Source organism: Homo sapiens, chromosome 9, assembly GCF_000001405.40.
Source record: "Homo sapiens chromosome 9, GRCh38.p14 Primary Assembly".
NCBI classification, from domain to species: Eukaryota; Metazoa; Chordata; class Mammalia; order Primates; family Hominidae; genus Homo; species Homo sapiens.
Genome location: NC_000009.12, coordinates 93,349,271 through 93,371,721, shown reverse-complemented (window position 1 = coordinate 93,371,721; position 22,451 = coordinate 93,349,271). Strand labels below are relative to the sequence as shown.

General features: G+C 42.4%; 4 annotated features.

Moving 5' to 3' along the window:
* Window positions 6,935-7,104: an enhancer, noted in NCBI's record as "experimental_109877 CRE fragment used in MPRA reporter constructs". NCBI's record gives its function as "activates a minimal promoter by MPRAs in K562 erythroleukemia cells, with activity observed for both the introgressed and non-introgressed 9:96126985 variant alleles {active_cell/tissue: K562}" and the evidence as "EXISTENCE:reporter gene assay evidence [ECO:0000049][PMID:34662402]".
* Window positions 18,020-18,549: an enhancer, noted in NCBI's record as "OCT4-NANOG-H3K27ac hESC enhancer chr9:96115455-96115984 (GRCh37/hg19 assembly coordinates)". NCBI's record gives its function as "activates a minimal SCP1, AML or CMV promoter by ChIP-STARR-seq in naive H9 embryonic stem cells {active_cell/tissue: H9 hESC(naive)}" and the evidence as "EXISTENCE:reporter gene assay evidence [ECO:0000049][PMID:30033119]".
* Window positions 18,550-19,079: an enhancer, noted in NCBI's record as "OCT4-NANOG-H3K27ac hESC enhancer chr9:96114925-96115454 (GRCh37/hg19 assembly coordinates)". NCBI's record gives its function as "activates a minimal SCP1, AML or CMV promoter by ChIP-STARR-seq in naive and primed H9 embryonic stem cells {active_cell/tissue: H9 hESC(naive and primed)}" and the evidence as "EXISTENCE:reporter gene assay evidence [ECO:0000049][PMID:30033119]".
* Window positions 20,670-21,199: an enhancer, noted in NCBI's record as "NANOG-H3K27ac hESC enhancer chr9:96112805-96113334 (GRCh37/hg19 assembly coordinates)". NCBI's record gives its function as "activates a minimal SCP1, AML or CMV promoter by ChIP-STARR-seq in naive H9 embryonic stem cells {active_cell/tissue: H9 hESC(naive)}" and the evidence as "EXISTENCE:reporter gene assay evidence [ECO:0000049][PMID:30033119]".

The following is a 22,451-nucleotide window of genomic DNA, read 5'->3' as shown; positions in this document are numbered from 1 at the left end:
GACTCTGTGTCTAAATTTCCTGTTCGTATAGGGACACCTATTGTATTGCATCGGGGCCTATCCTAATGATCCCATTTTAACTTAATTACTTCTTCTTCAAAGTCCCTATCTCCAAATACAGCCACCTTTTGAGGTACTGGGTGGCCGGACTCCAACATATAAATGTTGGGGGACACAAATCAGCCTGTAACAGCCGGGGTCAGCAGCATCTGCACCTCCTGGGCACATGTCAAAGAGGTAGAATTGCAGGCCATGTCCCCAGCCTGTGGAATCAGAATCTGAAACTAATGAGAGCCCCAAGCAATTTGCACATTATACTGTGAGAAGTGCTGTTCTAAGTCTTTCTGGTTTATATACACATTTCAGTTTGAGAGGTGCTGGCCTGGAAGTCTTCCTGGGTCCAAAGTAGAAGTGAGAAAACCAACAAACAGAACTAATTGTTTGTTGTAGTAGGGCTGAGGTCAAAAGAGGGTGCTTAGAAATCAAGAACCATGATGAGTGTGCTAAGGCCACAAGTGGATACACAAGCAGGGGAGGCCTCTCTGAGAAGATGACATTTCAGCTGAACACTGAAGCAAGTGATTAAATGGCCATGGGAACGTCTGGGGAAACAGTAGCAAGTGCAAAGATCCTGGGGTTGGCATGTGCTTAGTGCATGTAAGAAGCACAAAGGAGGCTGGGATGGCTGAGGCTGAGAAAAGCAGGAAGCCAGTGTTGGGAAGTAGTGGGTGTGGATTGTGTTGACCCTATAGCTCATGGTAAGGACCTGAAATACATTTTTGAGTGAAATTTGAAGCCATTGGAGGGTTTCAGTTGAGCCGTCACATGATCTGATTTTTAAGAGAAATCTCTCTGGTTGATGTGCTGAGAATAGATCAGTGAAGGCAAAGCAAGAAGGTGGTATCAGAGGCAACTGCAGAAATCCTGGTGAGAGACGAATCCAGGTGGCCTGGGCTAGGGTGGGAGCAATGGAGACGAAAAGTGCCCAGAGTCTGGTCATGTTCTGAAAGCAGAACTGATAGGATTTGTAATGACGGGTGTGAGATAAGGAGAGAGAGAAAGAGAAGAATCCCCCAAGTCTGGTCTGTGCACCCCTGCAGATCAGCCTTCTCAGAAGTGACTTCATATCTTGCCTTTGGGGACTACAACTGGCACAGACAGATGTCTCTTTTAAACATGGTGGATGGAGCATATATGTTCATCTCTGTTCCTCCCCAAACCCCTAAAATGTTGATAAAAGAACAAAAGCAGGAAACCCACAGGACAAGGGCTGAAAGACGGGGCACAGTGAGCAAGTTAGAAATGACAGATCTGCCTTGATCAAATGTAGAGGAAGGGATTCAAAAGCTTAGGTACCAACAAGCACAGGCGACCAAAACAAACATGGAAAAATGGGATCACATCTAGCTAAAAAGCTTCTGCACAGCAAAGGAAACAATCAACAAAGTGAAGAGATAACCCACAGAATGGGATAAAATATTTGCAAACTACTGATCAGATAAGCAGTTAATAACCAGACTAGATAAGGAGCTCAAGCAACTCTATGGGAAAAAATCTAATAATCAGAATAAAAAATGAACAATACATCTGAATAGACATTTCTTAAAACAAGACATATCAATGGCAATCAGGTATAGGAAAAGGTACTCACCAGCACTGATCATCAGAGAAGTGCACATCAAAACCACAATGAGATATCATCTCACTCAAGTTAAAATGACTTATCCAAAAGGCAACAGCAAATTCTGGTGATGATGTGGAGAAAAGGGAATGTTTGTATGCTGTTGATGGGCATGTAAATTAATACAATTGGAGGTTCCTCAAAAAACTAACAATAGAGGTATCATATGATTCAGCAGTCCTGCTGCTAGAGATATACCCAAAATGAAGGAAGTCAGTATATTAAAGAGATATCCGCACTCCATGTTTATTGCAGCACTGTTCACAATAGGCAAGATTTGGAAGTAACCTGTGTCCATCAACAGATGAATGGATAAAGAAAATGTGGTACATATACACAATGGAGTACAGTTCAGCCACAAAAACATGAGATTCTGTCATTTGCAACAACATGGCTGGAGTCTGGGGGGTCATTATGTTAAGTGAAATAAACCAGGCACAGAAAACAAACTTCCCATGTTCTCACTTACTTATGAGCACTAAAACTTAAAACAATTGAATTCACGAAGATAGAGAGTAGAATGATGATTACAGAGGTTGAGAGGGTAGTGTTGGGAAGGGGAAGTAGGGATGGTTACTGGGTACAAAACTACAGTTAGGTAGAATGAATAAGATCTAGTATTTGATAGCACAACAGGGTGACTACAATCAATGATAACTTGTATATTTTAAAATAACTAAAAGAGGCCAGGCACGGTGGCTCACACCTGTAATCCCAGCACTTTGAGAGGGTGAGACAGATTGATCTCCTGAGGTCAGGAGTGCAAGACCAGCCTGGCCAACATGGTGAAACCCTATCTCTACTAAAAATACAAAAAAATTAGCCAGGCATGATGGTGGGCACCTGTAATCCCAACTACTCAGGAGGCTGAGGCCGGAGAATCACTTGAACCCAGGAGGCAGAGGTTGCAGTGAGCCGAGATCGTGCCATTGTACTACAGCCTGAGGAACAAGAGTAAAACTCTGTCTCAAAATAATAATAATAATACTAATAAAATAATAAGATAAAATAACTAAAAGAGTATAACTGGAGTGTTTGTAATACAAAGAATAAATGCTTGAGGTTGTGGATACCTCATTTACCCTTATGTGACTATTACACATTGCATGCCTGAATCAAAATATCTCATGTACCCCATAAACATATACACCTACCATGTACCCACAAAAGTTAAAAATTAAAAAAAAGTATAAAAAGGCTTACGGAGACTGGAATGTTAGAATAGATGTGTCAACTAAGACCTACTCTCCCACCCTGAAAGAGTCCAAAAGACACACCTTTCATGACTGTGAGAAATAAATTGGTAGCCAGGTGTGGAGGCTCATGCCTGTAATCCCAGTGCTTTTGGAGGCCAAGGTGGGAGGACTGCTTGAGGTCAGGACTTTGAGACCAGCCTGGGCAGCATAGTGAGACCCCATCTCTAAAAAAAAGTAGCTGGGTGTGATGGCATGTGCCAGTAGTCCCAGCTACTTGGGAGGCTAATGTGGGAGGATGGCTTGAGCCCAGGAGTTCCAAATTACAGTGAGCTATGATTGCACCACTGCACTCCAGCCGGGGCAGCAGAGCAAGACTCTGTCTCTAAAGTAAAAAAAGAAGAAAAAACATGTGCAGAGATCCCCAGCATTCTTGAAGAGCTCTGTGATAGCTTTTCTATATAGGCCAGAACTTACATAAGAGATGTGGTAACTGAATTGGGAAAACTATGTGCAATAGGAGTCACTGGATTCCAGGGTGACAGAGGCCAAGTGGATGCACTCAACCACCAAAGGCAAGACGGGCACAGTTACTATAAGGAACAGCAGAGGCAAAGCAGCAGTCAAAACTGTGATTCCACAAACCTACGGCATTTGTTAGTTGATCATGGTGGTCCTAGAAGTGAAACAGATAAGAAACCTACAGAATTCTTACTTCATCTGCGTTAGCATAAAAGTTCTAGGTTAAGTGAACTAAAAGTCTAACTTGACTCAAAAAAAAAAAACAGAGAGAAATAGCCCTGTATTAGGCCATTCTTGCATTGCTGTGAAGAAATACTTGAGTCTGGGTAATTTATAAGAAAAGATATTTAATTGACTCACAGTTCTGCAGGCTGTATAGGAAGCATAGTGGTGTCTGCTTCTTGGGAGGCCTCAGAAAGCCTCCAATCATGAAGGAAGGCAAAGGGGAAGCAGGCACATCACATGGTGAGAATGGGAGCAGTAAACCATGCTGTAAGTTTTTAAATGCATATAAGTAAATAGGCTGGGTGTGGTGGCTCACACCTGTAATTCCAACACTTGGGAGGCCAAGGTGGGAGGATTGCCTGAGGCCAGGCACTCAAGACCAGTCTGGGCAACATAGTAGGGCCCTGTCTCTACAAAATATTTAAAAATTAGCAAGGTATCGTGCTGGGCTATGATTGCACCACGGGACTCCAGCCTAGGTGACAAAGTGAGATGCTGTCTCTAAAAAAACAACATGGCTGGGCAGGGTGGCTCACGCCTGTAATCCCAGTACTTTGGGAGGCCAAGGTGAGTGGATCACCTGAGGTCAGGAGTTCGAGACGAGCCTGGCCAACAAGGTGAAACCCCATCTCTACTAAAAATACCAAAAATTAGCCGGGTGTGGTGGTGGGCGCCTATAATCCCAGCTACTTGGGAGGCTGAGGCAGGAGAATAGTTTGAACCCAGGAGGCAGATGTTGCAGTGAGCAGAGATCACACCACTGCACTCTAGCCTGGGCAACAGAGCAAGACTATGTCTCAAAAACAACAACAGCAACAAAACCCAGAATCCTGTCTTCATTCATTAGAGAATGCAATTAAGCCTGGGCCGGGACGCCTGCCTTCCAGGTGGTTAAGGGAGTTCAGCAATGGTGACCACTCTGTACACATCATGGTTGTGGTCCCTGAACTTGGCTTTATTAGACTTGCCATTGAGAGGGGGCAGAAGGCCCGCATGCCACAGGCATCACTGTGCTGGTGGTGGCTCATGCAGTCCTGCAGAGGTGTGGAGAAGAGTCCCTCACCTTGAGAGGACAAGGGGGGTAGAAGGCTGCCCGAGGCCAGGCTGGATGGGGAGGCAATGTTGTCCCATGCAACTCTGTAAAGAATTGGTCATTTCTCACTGAGGTGGACAGCAGAGACCAGGGTCCTGGACTGCAGGGGTCGGAGCTGCCGCCAGCTGGTTCTGCCTCCCAGTGAAGCTGTGTGGGCTGGGGCAGGAGGGCTTTGGAGCAATAGCAGTTCCTAACAGTTGATCCTTTTGAGCCCAAGCCCTCCAAATTTGATCACCAGCTCAAGGTTCTGTGAGCTGCCAGACCCATAAATCCAACTGCCTCTCCTCCTCTCCATGGAGACCCTCAAAGTCATCTTGAAGATGCTCCACGTTGTAAGACGATGTCACTCCCAAGCTTCATGGGGTCTTCCCAGATGTCCCAGTTTCCAAGGCTGGCATGACCAGTCACCCTGTTCATTCTCAGTCTAGGACTCAGACTCATCCTTGTCCTCTCATTTCCCAAATGTGGGCTGCGAACAGCCGAGTAGATGTTTTAGCTGAAATGTCCCCAAACCCCCTTCCATCCAGTGTCCTCACTGCAGCCTGCATTATCTCTTCAGAGTCAAACAATGGATGCTCCGGTCCAGCCTTCTTACCGGGCTCTGCCCCCTCCAGGTCTTTCCTGCCCTCTGCTCCCCTCATTTTGAGCCCCATCACTAGGCGGGGTCCCTTGAGCCCCAAGGGGCCCGGCTCCGTCCTCCTAGGGCCTCACAAATGCCTACTCGGCGCCTGGTCCCTGCTGCAGCTTCACTTCCCCAGGCAGCCTCCCCAACTGAAGGCCGGGTCTGCCTGATGCCCCGGTGCTCCCTTCTGAACGTGGCCTTCCCTGTGGACCTCCTGTCTCACTTCTCAGAGTGTGACGATGCACCACGGAGGCCACAGGGGATCCCATGTGTGTCCCCCTCCATCCCCCTCCAGCCTCCCCATGGCTGCCGGCCACCTGGGCACAGAAGTCCTGTTTGTTTCACTTCCTATTTCCTCCTGTTGCTATGAGGGAGGCGCTCAGCCTGATTCTGTGGAGTGAGTGAGTGGAGGCTGGGGAGAGGGAAGAGGGTGTGTGGATGGAGGAGGGGCGCGCAGGGGACTCGAGAGCAGCTGGATCCTGGGAAGGGCGAGGAACCAGGGTGAGGACACAGCCCCTCGGGAAGCTTAGGTGGAGTTGGGGGTGCCTGTGGCTGCATGGAGGGTGGTGAGAGTCAGAAGCCACAGTGGACAACGCCGGTCCCCACAGAGAGGTCTTACCTGTTCAGGCAGCACAGTGGGCTTAGGGAATGTTGACAGACATGGGTGAGGGCCGTGTGAGGCACAGATGGCAGTAGCATGTCAAGGAGGTGGGTGTAGGTCCTAGACCAGAAGCAACCAGCACATGGCACATCCCAGGCATGCTCCCAGCAGGCCTGCGGTGGTGCCTATGATCTCTGCCAAGTAATGGGGTCAGGGAAGACAAACCCATTCCACAGATGCAGAAGCTGGTGCTCGAAGTGGAGTAACTGACTGTTTGTGATGGAGCCTGGGCTAGAACACAGGCTCCCATTCCCAGGTCCTTGTCCCATGCTACTCTAACAACCTGTAAGTTTCCCATACGTTGGATGGAGCAGTGAGAGGCAGACCTTATCCGGCCTTCCCCTCCTACTTTTCTTGTTCTTGCTACAGATAGATGGATGTTGCTAACTCTCCCATCACTCTCAGACTTTAGGTTAGAGCAGCAAGGACTTCCTTGACCACAGCATCTAAAAGAGCCACCCAGCCCCACCCTACTTGCTAATCCCATGCCTGCCTTATCAGTCTCCTGGGCCTATTGTAGCAAATCACCACAAACTTGATGACTTAAACAAACAGAAATTTCTTTCAGTTCTTGAGGTAGGAAGTCTGAAATCAAAGGCACTGGGCTGAAATCAAGGAGTCTCCAGGGCCACACTCCCTCCAGACTTGTGGACCCTCCTTGCCTTCTCCAGATTTTGGAAGCACCTGGCATTTCTTGGCTTGTGGCCACATCATGCAGTCTTCAACACAAGAATGTTCACATCTCTTTCTGCTCCCTCTTCACATGGCCCTCTCCTCTACCTGTGCTGTGTCTCTCTCAGCCTCCCTTTCCTGAGACACAAGTGATTGCATTGGGGGCCCACCCAGATCATCCAGGAGAGTCTGGCCATCTCAAGAATCTTAGCTGAATCCCATAAAGTCTACCCCATTTTTTTTTTTATCACATATTATTCATGGGTTTCAGGGATTAGGATGTGAATTTCTTTGGTGAGGTCATTATTTAGCCTGCAACAACTACTTTATTTTTGTTTTTCTTCATAGTATTTATCACCATCTGTCCAAGTCCATTTTGTATTGCTATGACAATACCTCAGACTGGGTAATTGATAAGGAAGACAGGTTTATTTAGCTCACAATTCTGCAGACTGGGAAGTTCAAGGGCACAGTTCTGGCTTCTGGTGAGAGCTCTTGTGTATTGTCCTAACATGGCAAGGAAGGTCAAAGTGGAAGCAAATAAGTGCAAAGAGTCAAAACCCAAGGGGCATCATGTCATTACGACAACTCACTCTTATGGGAAGAAATACAGACTCGTGAGAACTAATCCAGTCTCTCCAGAGCAAGAACTCATTGCCAGGAGTACAGTACCAAGACATCATGGAGGATCCATTCCCATGACCAAAACACCTCCCACTAGCTCCCACCTCCGCACATCATCATGTTGGGGGTCAAATTGCAGCATGAACTTTGGTGGGAAGAAACCATATGCAGTCATAGGGCCACCCGATGAGGACACAGTGAGTGGTTTCTGTCTATACAGACTATGTCTCCATCTAGAATGTCAACTCCATGGGAGCAGGAACTTTGTCTTGTTCACCACTGTATTCCCAGTGATATGTGCCTGCACATATTAGGTACTCAATAAACACTTGTGACAATATAGAGACTGAACTGAGAATAAGAATGCACTGTGGTTATATACAATGCTGATGTGAAAACCAGTCTCCTCTGTGCACTGGTAATACACAACACCTGTTGGAGGAAAATGACACAACTTCACTTAGAGATTCACAAAGAAGACCTGAATAAAAAGAGAGGCATTCCATGCTTCTGAATCAGAAGAACTTAGTTTTTTAACAAATCAAGTTTGGGAATCAAAATCCCAAAGGAATTTTTCCTGTACCTTGGGAAAGTGACTCAAGAAAGTTTCATTTGGAAGAATAAATAGGTGAAACGAGACTAGACATTTAGGGAAAAAGGAAGAGTAATCAATAGAAATTATACTACCAGTCATTAAAGCATTTAATGAAACTATCATAATTAAAGTAATATAGCATATAATTTTGGCAGAAAATTCAAAAGAAAAATTAATGGAACAGGAAGACACTGGTTTAAACCAGACTCTAGTAATTATAAAACTTAGAATAAAATAAAGAAACATTTCAAATAATAAGTTGAGTAAATATTCCTGAAATATTGTGTAACTGTTTACGGAAAAAAAAAATGTGAGAGCTATGCCTCCACTATACATTTAGAGTGGTGACTAAGACATGAGATCTGGGTTCAGATCTCCACCTCATGGCTTACTTGCTGCACCACCTTGGACTACTCACCCCTTCAAGCCTCAAATAGGAGTTAGCAATTCCTAGTATCATTGTGAGGATTCAGAGATTGAGTGCCTAGAAAATACTAAGCACACCCTAGGTGTGTGGCTAAGCTATTTAGAGCTGATTCAATGAAAAAATGAAATGATGTAAAACCTGGAAAAAATGTAGTTTAGTGTCTATCAGAATTTCACATTGGTAGCAACAAAAACAGCAAAGAAAAGCATAAATAGAAATTTATCAGAGTTGACTACATAAAAATTCAAAGTATACGTGGTATATCACAAAAAAATCTTCAAAATTGAAAGGGAAAAATACTCTGTATAAATCAGATGCACATCTAGTTACTATTTATAAAATATACATCTTATGAATGAATTTATGTTTAATAGCACAGCAGAAAATTTGGAAATAAAGGCCAGGTGCAGTGGCTCACACCCGTAATCCCAGCACTTTGGGAGGCCAAGGTGGCTCACTTGAGGTCAGGAGTTTGAGACCAGCCTGACCAACATCATGAAACCCCATCTCTACTAAAAATACAAAAATTAGTGGGTGTGGTGGCATGTGCCTGTAATCCCAGCTACTCAGGAGGCTGAGGCAGGAGAATCACTGGAACCTGGGAGGCGGAGGTTGCAATGAGCCAAGATTGCACCACTGCACTCCAGCCTGGGTGACAGAATGAGACTTCATCTCGAAAATAAATAAATAAATAAAAGAAGGGAGAGGACCAGAAGGTAGCTATGCGTTATTGTCAATGAAGCATTTGTTTTAGGATGAGATTTAGAGGATGCTTATTATGTTGCTGAAAATATACACAGTCACATATGCAAGATCTCTGCCATGTAGAGCTCAATGGTGAGGCACCAAGGGATATAATCTATCTAATTCCAAGCAATGGAGACTCTGCTCATGTGCGCACATACACATACACAAGTTATGTAGCATTTGAAGATTAAAATGTCTTTAAAGCCTTTCAAAATAGTATCAAAAACATGGAATACCAAGGGCTTTATTGGCCCCATAAGGGAAGCTTGATTCCTTAAAGAAAAGCACACCATTCCAGTCAAAGCCTTGGTAAAATAACCGGTTTCTCCAATTGTGTCCTGTTACAAATGAAAACAAATTCTTATTTGCATTTATACAAATAACCATATTGTCATAAGTTAAGAATACTCACAAATAGTTTCCAGATTTTGTAGAAATCAGGTAAAGAGAAACAAATATGCTTCTAATTTTGTTCATAGGAGTACATTAAATTGTTAAGAGCTGTCAATATCTCAAAAGAAAAGTTTCAAGACTCTAAAAAAACAAAGGATTAGCAACATTTAAAGCAAAAGTGGAAACGGTTACTTTAGTCTTCTATCAGTTCAGTTTATGCAGTTAACTCCTGTTCTTCTTGATATTCCTGAACACTTCAGCTCTCCGTAAAAGTCCTGAAAGTTTATTTCCCTCTGTTCTAATGTCACAACCTCCAAAGTTATCAGAAACCTACATTTAAGAACACCTGTTAGAGGCCGGGAGTGGTGTCTCACACCTGTAATCCCAGCACTATGGGAGGCCGAAGGAAGGTGGATTGCTTGGGGTCAGGAGTTGGAGACCAGCCTGACAACTTGGTAAAACCCTGTCTCTACTAAAAATACAACAATTAGCCGAGCATGGTCGTGGGCACTTGTAATCCCCGCTACTCGGGAGGCTGAGGCAGGAGAATCTCTTGAACACAGGAGGCAGAGGTTGCAGTGAACCTAGATTGCACCACTGCACTCTAGCCTGGGTGACAGAGTGAGATTCTGTCTCAAAGAAAAAAATAAACAAAGAACACCTATCAGAGTTCTATAGCTTATTATAGAACCACTTTCTAAAGAGGACCAAAAGATGACAATTGTCTGTGGATGAAAAAAAGTTTTAGGGAAGCCATAATCAAAGACACAATTGACAAGGAAATTTGTTATCTCTGTGGCACACAATAACTTAACATAATAATTATAATTATTACTGACAATGTCCTCTAAGTTATATCAGAATTATAGGAGTTTCCCATAATTTTGGAACACGCACCAATAACATATTTATATAAATACAGCCCAAAGAAAATCAAATACCATTTCATATTTGACAATGCTTCCTGTATAATTTTTGTACCAAAATAAGCCAAATTATGTCATTTTTGGACTTCAGGGAACCTAATATCTTAAATGATTAATTAGGTCAGAAAAAGACATAATTTATAATTTGATTTTGGAAAGTTTGTCAAATATCAAATGTTTAAAACACTTGATATCACAAAATAAGATCACAGATCATTGTAAAATAAGTCATTCATTTAACCAAAGTGATAACTCAAGGATTTCAAAAAAAGGTGAAAACCTTCATTCTTTGAGAGAGGAGACTTAATATTTACCAAGAACAAGCTGTAATAAAAATAGCATGAGGCCAATTAAATTTGTTTTTCAAAATTTTATAAACAATCTATAAAATCTTAATCTTGACCACAAGATTCAGCTTCCATAAGCCTTTTATAATTTTTATAACCTTTATTAAGGAGTTGGTTAATGCTTCAAGAAAACCTTGTTAATCTGACAGAGGGGCCCATATACTAGTCTTGCATCAGTGTGTCTTTGACATTAATGATTAATTTATAGAGAAACTGAACTTATTTTATCTTTCAAAATCAGCCCTTACAATCTCACATGCCCACCTCTTCTGTGATACTCCTTGGGCCTTAAGGAGTATTATATAGCTTTAATTTCTTGCCCTGTGTCTCAGAAATGCAGCTTATTTTGATTAGCATCTTCTATAGGTCCTGAAGATGAGGCTCTAATTGCTGTCAGTGTTAAAGATTTAGTAGGACTTGATGTCCTTTTTAGACCCAGAGTCAAAGCCCTGTAATGTATGAATGTGGTAACATTAATTAAAAAAATTTTTTTGGCCGGGCGTGGTGGCTCATGCCTGTAATCACAGCACTTTGGGAAGCTGAGGCAGGCAGATCACAAGGTCAGGAAATTGAGACCATCCTGGCTAACATGATGAAACCCTGTCTCTACTAAAAAAACCAAAATATTAGCTGGGTATGGTGGCATGCACCTGTAGTCCCAGCTACTCAGGAGGCTGAGGCATAAGAATCACTTGAACCTGGGAGGCGGAGGTTGCAGTGAGCCGAGATTGTGCCACTGAACTCCAGCCTAGGCAACACAGCGAGACTCCGTCTCAAAATAAATCTTTTTAAAATCTCAGTGTTTATTCCTAAGCAAGCCAAAACTTAATAACAATATGACAGCCTGACCATATAAACGTTCTTGTTTGTTTGTTTTTTAATAAATCCTCTTATTGTGACTTACACTGACTGTTCATGACATTCTTGGACTTTCTAGTTTGTCCTGAACATCCCTCCTTCTTAAACAACCAGTCATTTTATTTTAGGACTAAATTTACCATACAAGATTCTTTCTCATATAAAATTATTTCTCTTTAAGCTTTCTTACTGACCTCCCGACCTCAGGTGATCTGCCCGCCTCGGCCTCCCAAAGTGCTAGGATTACAGGCGTGAGCCACTGCGCCTGGCCTATACGTAACATTTAAATGAGCTTTGAATTATACAAAACTTGTTCACCTTTTTAAAAGAGATGTATCTTTTTTTTTTTAAGCAAGAATGCTTTCCTACAATATATATTTGTTGGAAAATACCCAAATAATGAAATTTTAGATTCTAAATTATAACAAGTTTGTCTACAAGTATTTATGACATTACATTTACCCAAATAGAAACAAATAATTATAATTTACTTTAATTGTTTAGCTAGATTACTTATGGAAACTTCAATAGTCATGATTTAAAGTTATGAAACTGCCATTGCAAAATTATAACTGAGACAGTGAAGAAAATATAACCCAACTGACTCCATCTTGCTTCTAACCTCCAAGCTGTCCTTGTTCATACCTGGACTTTGGGAGGAATTTAATTTATAGTTTAGCTTTGAAACAAAGATGTTAACAGTTCTTTTCCTTTCCCAAAACAAACCTCCTTACTGCGTGTGGACTAGACTGCCTAAAGCCACAAGATTAGAAGTTATGATAATTTTACTAAATTTTTCAAGATGTAACTTTTTTTTTTTTTGAGACAGAGTCTTGCACTGTTGCCCAAGCTGGAGTGCAGTGGTGCAATCTTGGCTCACTGCAAACTCCACCTCCTGGGTTCACGTCATTCTCCTGCCTCAGCCTCCCAAGTAGCTGGCACTACAGGTGCCCGCCACTACGTCTGGCTAATTTTTTGCACTTTTAGTAGAGACGGAGTTTCACCATGTTAGCCAGGATGGTCTCGATCTCCTGACCTTGTGATCCACCCACCTCGGCCTCCCAAAGTGCTGGGATTACAGGCATAAGCCACCACGTCTGGCCCCAAGATGTAGCTATTTTTATTAAACCAATATCAATGTCTTATTTATTAAGGATTACACAAGCAAAGATCATTCTGTCTTGGGCTGGGTTTATAGTTTTGTAACCCCTATGCCAAATTTTGACACCTTTTAGTATTTGGCAGGGATAAATATGAAATTGCTTGATTAATAAATGCAAACAAAAATGTATGCTGGCAATTCTTAAGACATTTCTTATATTACTTTGCCAATAATTTTAAAGCTAGCTTACTTATTAAATATTTTAATTAAGTTACATAAACTTGAAAAAGCATTTGACTAGTCTTTTTTTACTAACTGATTTCAGCACTTTTATTTCATTTTTAAGCCAATTAACAAGCACTCTTTTATATATTAGTAGTAGTGAAATATTGTGTACACAACACATAAATACATAGACATATTAGGCATGCCGATAGAAGTACATTTTATAGATTCATAAAAACCTTTTTTTTCCTATCTTAGACTTTCAGATTCTTGATAACCTGTTTCACAACCCTGGGCAGTTGTCAGCTAAATAGCCTTGAAATTGCATATTAAAGGAAGTAACTCAGGTGAAAGTCAAATAGCAAAATTTACATTATAAGGTATGGAGAGTAAAAGTGTGGTGTGCTAAAGGGAAATTAAAACACATTTAATTGCCAATTAAACATAAAATTATAGAAATCATAAGGGCCTTTTAAATGTACACACACACACACACACACACACACACACACACACACACAAAGATCCTATAGCTTTTACTTCAGAACTTTTAGCCATGAGGTAAATACAAATTCACCAGCTTGCAAAAAGAACTTGTTGGATCTAAATGGTGGTTTTTGTCTTAATAGAAAAACAGCAGCAGATTTAAAGAAGCCAGAAAAGAGAAAAAATAGAGAAAAAGAGGACTTAGAAACTCTATAGTTTGCAGGTCGAACCTTAGGGCTCTTTTTCCTTGATGTAAATGTGCACGAAGACCATATTATTCCGATTTTACATAAACTTTCACAAGTAGAGGTGCCATAAAACCTATGGAGTGCTCAAAAGGGGGTCATTCTCCTTATTTTCTCCTCGTTCTTAGATTGTTTCCTGCTTTTTTTTTTTTCTTAAGAAGAGGAACTGAGCTGTGGCCTAGGGTTTTTGTGTGGTGGATTGATGTGTGCTGCCTGTGCACAGGACTCCACGGTGTGTCACCACTACATCATTTCCACCATCTTACATGTTTCAGTTTCTCTCTCTAGAGGTCTGTGACCTCAGAGAGGGCTCAAAACAGTGGGTGATCAGTCCTTATGAGCCATTTTTAAAATTAATTTTTGTTGGAGATTTACCTGCAGGATTGTGGCATGTCATGGCGGGGTCAACCTCCTAGACACTCCCACGAGGTCCCCCATCACCCAGGGGCACCTTTCAGCTGGGAGGAGTAAATGCTGTTTCTCTTTGGAGCTGAGAAAATTCAGTCTCTCATTAATATATGAAAACAACAGTTCAGTTCCTTATGCAAATGCACACAGACAAACTGAATTAAGATTAAATGTGAGAGAAAGAGCAGTAGAGAAGATCCTTTAGAATGCATCTCCAAACTAGAATTAGGATCCTTAAACAACTTCAGACCAGAACAAACAACAACAACAAAAAACCCAACAACAATATGATCACTGAACACTCTAATGGTAAGGAGAAATTAAGACCAGCTGGTTGTTAATCTTAACTTTAGCCAAGACAAAACTCCAGTTCAGTTACTTACCTAGGGATGGGTCTCAGACTGAAGACTGCTCTTCACAATCCTAGAAGCAGAGAAAAAATACAAACAAACACGTCTTCCCTGTGGAAGCAAGCTCAAACTTCATACAGGAGTTACCCGCCTTCCATCGTTAAGGAAGCAGGAAAACCTTGACTTCCTTGTGTGGGAAGCAAGTGAAAACCTTGACTTCCTTGTGTGGGAAGCAAGTAAAACTCCAAAAAAAGAGGAGTTGTACAGCAAAATAAACTTTAGATCTCGACCAAATTTTGGAAGATCAGAGATTCTCTGGAGACAGTGCTCTCAGACCTCAGCAAATTTTCCTATTGGTTTGAGTCATAAAGTCAGTTCATGCTGATACCAAGCATTGATAGGAGATTTGCCAAAGGTCAGGGTCATCTCCATTCAGAATCCCTCCATGGTTACCAAATGTGAACCCCCAAAATTTGAGACGGGTCTCAATTAATTTAGAAAACGTATTTTGCCAAGGTTGAGAACACATGCCCATGACACAGCCTCAGGAAGTCCTGACAACATGTACACAAGGTAGTCGTGGCACAGCTTGGTTTTATATATTTTAGGGAGACATGAGACATCAATCAATATATGTAAGAACTACATTGGTTCTGTCCAAAAACACAGGGACAACTTGAAGCAGGGAGAGGGCTTCCAGGTCACAGGTAGGTGAGAGACAAATGATTGTATTCTTTGGAGTTTCTGATAAGGCTTTCTAAAGGAGGCAATCAGAATATGCATCTATCTCAGTGAGCAGAGCGATGACTTTGAATAGCATGGGAGGCAAGTTTGCCCTGAGCAGTTCCCAGCTTGAATTTCTCCTCTAGCTTAGTGATTCTGGGGGCCCAAGATGTTTTCCTTTCACACTAGTATGCTAGATGTTACTAAAAATTAAATCTTTAATCTTTAAATAGTCTAAGAAATAAAGATCTACACTATACAGATTATGCTTTTGCAAAACTTCAGAACATGATCAAGAATTTAGTAAAGGGTTCTTTTTATCATAACACTGATTCAACTATCTGGTCAAATCACTCATTAGTCTTCTAGATAGTCTTTAAGAAAAGGAATATACATGGAATGTTCAATCTTCTTAAGTCAAATCTATACAAAGAGATTAAATCACATCAGAATTTTTAAAAAATAGAGATAGGGTTTCCCTCTGTTGCCCAGGCTGGAGTGCGGTGGTGGAATCACATCTCCCTGTAGCTTTGACCTACCTGGCTCAAGCCATCCTCCCACCTCAGCCTCCTGAGTAGCTGACTACAGGGTCACACCACCACGCTGGACTCACTTCATTTTTTGTAGACACAGGGCCTTGTCATATTGCTCAGACTTGTCTCAAGCAATCTGCCTGCCTTGGCCTCCCAAAATGTTGGAACAGGTGTGAGCCACCACACCTAGACTAGAAATGTACTTGCAGAAAGGTTCTAAAATGGCTAATCAAAGATATTGCCATACTTTAATTAGTCCAAAAGATGAAAACCTATTCTTTTAAATCAATGGATTGATGTGAGTAAGGATCACCAACCAAACAAGGAAACAACACAGATGGTAAAGCTCAGGTACCTTTTTCTTCGCCCATCCTTGTTAGATCAGCTGCAAGACACTGATGACAAGCTCTGTCATTTTACAAACTTTATGACAGCCAGCTACAAACTACAACAATTACATATTCCCCAAATTTCCTCTATTTTACTTTCACTGTTTGAGTACAGGATAATGAAATGTCAGTCCTCTTAATCATCCATTTTGCTAATGTAATGTACAAGATATATTCTACAATAAAACTTTACAGCTGCTAATATAAATAGCAGTATTCAGTTTATTCCAACTCTGAAATTAGTTCACTAAGGAAAAAAAAAGAATCAGGTACAATGTGAATGAAAATCCAGAAATAAATACCATATTCCCAGACATTATCTTACCACTAATCATGATTTTATATTTTATACTATTACTTGAATAAATTTTGCTTTTAGAATTTTGGAATTAAAAAAATTGCATTATTCTGATACCATCAGTTAATTGTTTGCTAACTACTTTTTCTTAAAGGTCAGTGAATTGTAAAAGGCATATTTCACAGAAAATGTAAGATATCATGTATTGCATTTTAAAATTTAATTTTAGAGTTAGAATTATACTATTTACTTTCTATGCTAGGTAATGTCACAATATACTTAAAAAGAGTTACATATAATACACAGTCACGAAATATAGATTATATGTATAACTACTACCCATGGGTGTGGAAAAAATACCATTCACTCCCAGTATCTTATGCAAAAAAAAGAAATGTTTACTAACCCATTTACAAGGGCACATTTGCAATCTTTCTTCTGTTGGCTCAGCCTCTTTTTAATGAATGTCCACAATCACTAAGTGATACCGTGGCAAACTCTACTCTTCCGAGACTCCCCAGAGACAATCAGCATCACATTTTAATTCCAAAGACCATAAAAAAATGTACATCGCAGGAAAAAATAACTTTCAACAAGAGCCACTTTTTCTGACCTTGTCAACCTGTGAATCAGCTGTCCTTAGAAGCACAGTCATTTAGACACGACACCATTCCTTCAGATGACGCGATCTTAAGGAATTTAGTAATTATGTGATTTACTAACTTCTGACAAACTGAAAAGGCCTTCTCACCTACTCCTGGAGTCTTCCCAGAATCCAGGCACCCAGTGTAAGAAAACAGGTGTTGAAAGCTCTGCTGTCACTTCTGTAAAAGCAAACTAAGTATGGCCTAAGAAAGACTCTGTACTTCTATATGTGGGTTCTTGTGGACAAACTGTAAGGTAGCTTAACAGGTAGACAAGATTGAAAACTTAATTTAGGAGTCTGTACCTATAACAGTAGCTGAGTCTTGACCATACTTCAACCACTCATATACTGCTAAGTGTTCAAACTGTGTTCAAATAAGGCAAATGCCAGCCTGTAACCAATCCAGCTGTTTCTCTACCTCACTGCCACTTTCTTTCTTTCTTTTTTATTTTTTTGAGACCGAGTTTTGCTCTTGTTGCCCAGGCTGTAGTGCAACGGCATGATCTCGGCTCGCTGCAACCTCTGCCTCCTGGGTTCAAGCGATTCTCCTACCTCAGCCTCCTGAGTAGCTGGGACTACAAAAGCCTGTCACCATGCCTGGCTAATTTCTGTATTTTTAGTAGAGACGGGGTTTTACCAGGTTGACCAGGATGTCTTGATCTCCTGACCTTGTGATCCACTCGCCTTGGCCAATTATATTTTTAGAAGGCCTGTACACTTGTAAAAGACTATTATAATAATTAGAAAAACTTGTCTCATTATTTATTTAGAAATGCTATATTTAAAAGTAGGCTAGGCCAGGCGTGGTGCACTTTGGGAAGCCAAGGGGGGTGGATCACCTGAGGTCAGGAGTGGGAGACCAGCCTGACCAACATGGTGAAACCCTGTCTCAACTAAAAATACAAAAATTAGTCAGGCATAGTGGCAGGTGCCTGTAATCCCAGCTACTTGGGATGCTGAAGCAGGAGAATCGCTTGAACCGGGGAGGCAGAGGTTTCAGTGAGCTGAGGTCATGCCATTGCACTTCAGCCTGGGCAACAAGAGTGAAACTCTGCCTCAAAACATAAAAGAATGAAAGTAGGCCAACAATAGGAATTTTGCAGTTGCACAACAGAGAACGTAAATGAATTAACATTCAGTGTCCATAGCATGTTACATACTGTGACTTACCCCATCTACCCTGAAGCATTTACTCCATCCATGTGGTGGCTCAAATAGAGTTCCCGTGTTAATCCCACAATGAACCTCAATAATTCTCACATCACGGTGGTTGTAAACATTTGTTAACGGAAAAAGAATGCTTTTCCTAAAACAGCTACATAACACTAAGACTACTCAAATTTCTAAATAATCCTTTTACAAGACAGCCTGGCAACTTCCTTTTTTTCATGGGTGTCCGTGTGAAGAGACCACCAAACAGGCTTTGTGTGAGCAACATGGCTGTTTATTTCACCTGGGTGCAGGCGGACTGAGTCCGAAAAGAGAGTCAGCAAAGGGAGATAAGGGTGGGGCCGTTTTATAGGATTTGGGTAGGTAAATTACAGTCAAAGGGGGTTTGTTCTCTGGCAGGAAGGAGTGGGGGTCCCAAGGTGCTCAGTGGGGGTGCTTTTTGAGCCAGGATGAGCCAGGGAAAGGACTTTCACAAGGTAATGTCATCACTTAAGGCAAGGACCGGCCATTTACACTTCTTTTGTGGTGGAATGTCATCAGTTAAGGTGGGGCAGGGCATATTCACTTCTTTTGTGATTCTTCAGTTACTTCAGGCCATCTGGGTGTATACGTGCAAGTCACAGGGGATGCGATGGCTTGGCTTGGGCTCAGAGGCCTGACATTCCTGCCTTCTTATATTAATAAGAAAAATAAAACAAAATAGTGTTGAAGTGTTGGGGTGGCGAAAATTTTTGGGGGGTTATATGGAGAGAGAATGGGCGACGTTTCTCAGGGCTGCTTCAAGCGGGATTAGGGGCGGCGTGGGAACCTAGAGTGGGAGAGATTAAGCTGAAGGGAGGTCTTGTGGTAAGGGGTGATATTGTGGGGATGTTAGAAGAAACATTTATTGTATAGAATGATTGGTGATGGCCTGGATACGGTTTTGGATGAATTGAGAAACTAAATGGAATAACAGAAGGAGAAAAACAGGTATAAAAGGTCTAAGAATTGGGACGAATCAGGATATCTGATTAGAGAGTGCCTAAGGAGATTCAGCATAGTCCTGCCAGCAAAGATTATTTATTTACTTCAAGAGTTAAGAGTGGCAGTTTGGGGATAGCACCAAGAGATATCAGCTGTGATGGCTTGGAGAAACAGTGTAAACCGGCAGTGTAAACAAGAGCAGGGCATGTATGAGTAGTTGAGAACAGTGAATAGGAGTATGACTAGACAGAAGATAATAGGGATGACAAGTATTTTTGGGGGCACAATCTAAGTTGGTCTGGTGTCTGGAATGAGACTGGGGCCTAATAAAAAGGAGCGTCTATACAGGAGCTTAAATGGGCTGTACCCTGTAGCATTCCAAGGACAGGCCTGAATTCTGAGAAGGGAAAGTGGTAAAAGTATTGTCCAGTCCTTTTTAAGTTGGTGACTGAGCTTGGTGAGGTGTGTTTTTAAAAGACCTTTAGTCCATTCTACTTTTCTTGAAGACGGAGGACCGTAAGGGATATAAAGGTTTCACTGAATACTAAGAGCCTGAAAAACTGCTTGGCTGATTTGACTAATAAAGGCTCGTCTGTTATCAGACTGTATTGAGGTGGGAAGGCTAAACTGAGGAATTATGTCTAACAGAAGGGAAGAAATGACTGCGGTGGCCTTCTCAGACCCTGTAGGAAAGGCCTCTACCTATCTAGTGAAAGTATCTACCTAGACTAAGAAGTATTTTAGTTATCTGACTCAGGGCATGTTGAGTAAAGCTAATTTGCCAGTCCTGGGTGGGGCAAATCCTCGAGCTTGATGTGTAGGGAAGGAAGGGGGCCTGAATAATCCCTGAGGAGTAGTAGAATAGCAGATGGAACACTGAGAAGTTATTTCCTTGAGGATAGATTTCCACGATGGAAAGGAAATGAGAGGTTCTAAGAGGTGGGCTAGTGGCATAACCTGCCTTTGCTGGTGTGTGGCCATTAGGCCTGGTGGAACCACCATCAATAAATCAAGCGTGATCAGAGTGAGGAACAGGAAAGAAGGAAATTTGGGGAAATGGGGTGAATGTCAGGTGGATCAGAGAGATACAGTTATGGGGGTCAGGTGTGGTATCATGAATAATGTGGGAGGCCGGATTGAAGTCTGGGCCAGGAACAACGGTAATTGTGGGAGACTCAACAAAGAGTGAGTATAGCTGAAGAAGCCAGGAAGCAGAAAGTATACGTGTCAGGTATGAGGAAGAAAATAGATTTTGGAAGTTATGAGAACTGTGGAGAGTGAGTTGAGCATAGTTTGTGATTTTGAGGGCCTCTAAAAGTATTAATGCAGTGGCAGCCGCTGCACGCAGACATGAGGGCTAGGCTAAAACAGTAAGGTCAAGTTGTTTGGACAGAAAGGCTATATAGGGTGTGGTCCTGGCTCTTGTGTAAGAATTCTGACCACGCTAACCATGTCTAGGAAGGAAAGGAGTTGTTGTTTTGTAGAAGGTGCTGGGGTTTGAGAGATCAGTAGGACACGATTGGCAGGGAGAGCACGTGTGTTTTTATGAGAATTATGCCGAGATAGGTAACAGATGAGGAAGAAATTTGGGCTTGATTGAAGTAATGGGGGCTGTCTGTGAAGCTTTGCGGCAGTACAGCCTAGGTAATTTGCTGAGCTTGATGGGTGTCAGGCTCAGTTCAAGTGAAGGTGAAGAGACGCTGGGATTAAGGGTGCAAAGGAATAGTAAAGAAAGCGTGTCTGAGATCTAGAACAGAATAATGGGTTGTAGAGGCAGGTGTTGAGGATAGGAGAGTATATGGGTTTGGCACCACGGGGTGGATAGGCAAAACAATTTGGTTGATAAGGCGCAGATCCTGAACTAACTTGTAAGGCTTGTCTGGTTTTAGGACAGGTAAAATGGGGGAATTGTAAGGAGAGTTTATAGGCTTTAAAAGGCCATGCTGTAGCAAGCGAGTGATAACAGGCTTTAATCTTTTTAAAGCGTGCTGCGGAATGGGATATTGGTGTTGAGTGGGGTAAGGGTGATTAGGTTTTAATGAGATGGTAAGGGGTGCATGATCGGTCACCAAGGAGGGAGTAGAGGTATCTTATACTTGTGGGTTAAGGTGGGGGGATACAAGAGGAGGACACAAAGGAGGCTTTGGATTGGGAAGAAGGGCGGCAATGAGATATAGCTGTAGTCCAGGAATAGTCAGGGAAGCACATAATTTAGTTAAAGTGTCTCAGCCTAATAAGGGAAATGGGCAGGTGGGGATAACTAAAAAGGAGTGCTTAAAAGAGTATTGTCTAAGTTGGCACCAGAGTTGGGGAGTTTTAAGAGGTTTAGAAGCCTGGCTGTCAATACCCACAACAGTTATGGAGGCAAGGGAAACGGGCCCTTGAAAAGAAGGTAATGTGGAGTGGGTAGCCTCCGTATTGATTAAGAAGGGGATGGGCTTACCTTCCACTGTGAGAGTTACTGGCAGCTCGGCATCCATGATGGTCTAGGGGGCTTCCAAGGCGATCGGGCAGTGTCAGTCTTCAGCCGCTAAGCCGAGAAGATCTGGGAAGGAGTCAGTCAGAGAGCCTCGGGCCAGAGTTCCAGGAGCTCTGGGAGTGGCTGCCAGGTGAGTTGAATAGTCCGATTTTCAGTGGGGTCCCACACAGATGGGACGTGGCTTAGGAGGAATCCCAGGCTGCGGGCATTCCTTGGCCCAGTGGCCAGATTTCCGGCACGTGTAGCAAGCTCCTGGGGGAGGAGGTTCTGGAGGAACGCCTGGCTGCTGCGGTTCAGGCGTTTGGAAGTTCTTGTGTGCTGGAGATGTGGCTGGGGTTTGTCTCACAGTGGAGGCAAGGAAGTGCCACTTTTTTCTATTATTGTACACCTTGAAGGCGAGGTTAATTAAATCCTGTTGTGGGGTTTGAGGGCCGGAATTTAATTTTTGGAGTTTTATTTAATGTCGGGAGCAGATTGGGTAATAAAATGTATATTGAGAATAAGATGGCCTTTTGACTTTTTAGGGTCTAGGGCTGTAAAGTGTCTCAGGGTTGCTGCCAAACGAGTCCTGAACTGGGCTGGATTTTTATATTTGATGAAAAAGAGCCTAAACGCTATCCGATTTGGGATAAAGAAAAAGGAGCATTAACCTTGACTACGCTTTTAGCTCCAGCCACCTTTTTAAGAGTAAATTGCTGGGCAGGAGGGGGAGGGCTAGTCACGGAACGAAACCGTAAGCGGGACCAGGTGTGAGGAGGGGAGGTGATAAAAAGATTATAGGGTGGAGGAGCGGAGGCTGAGGAAGAATTGGGACCTAGCTTGGCCTGGCGAGGAGCAGCCTGGGGAGG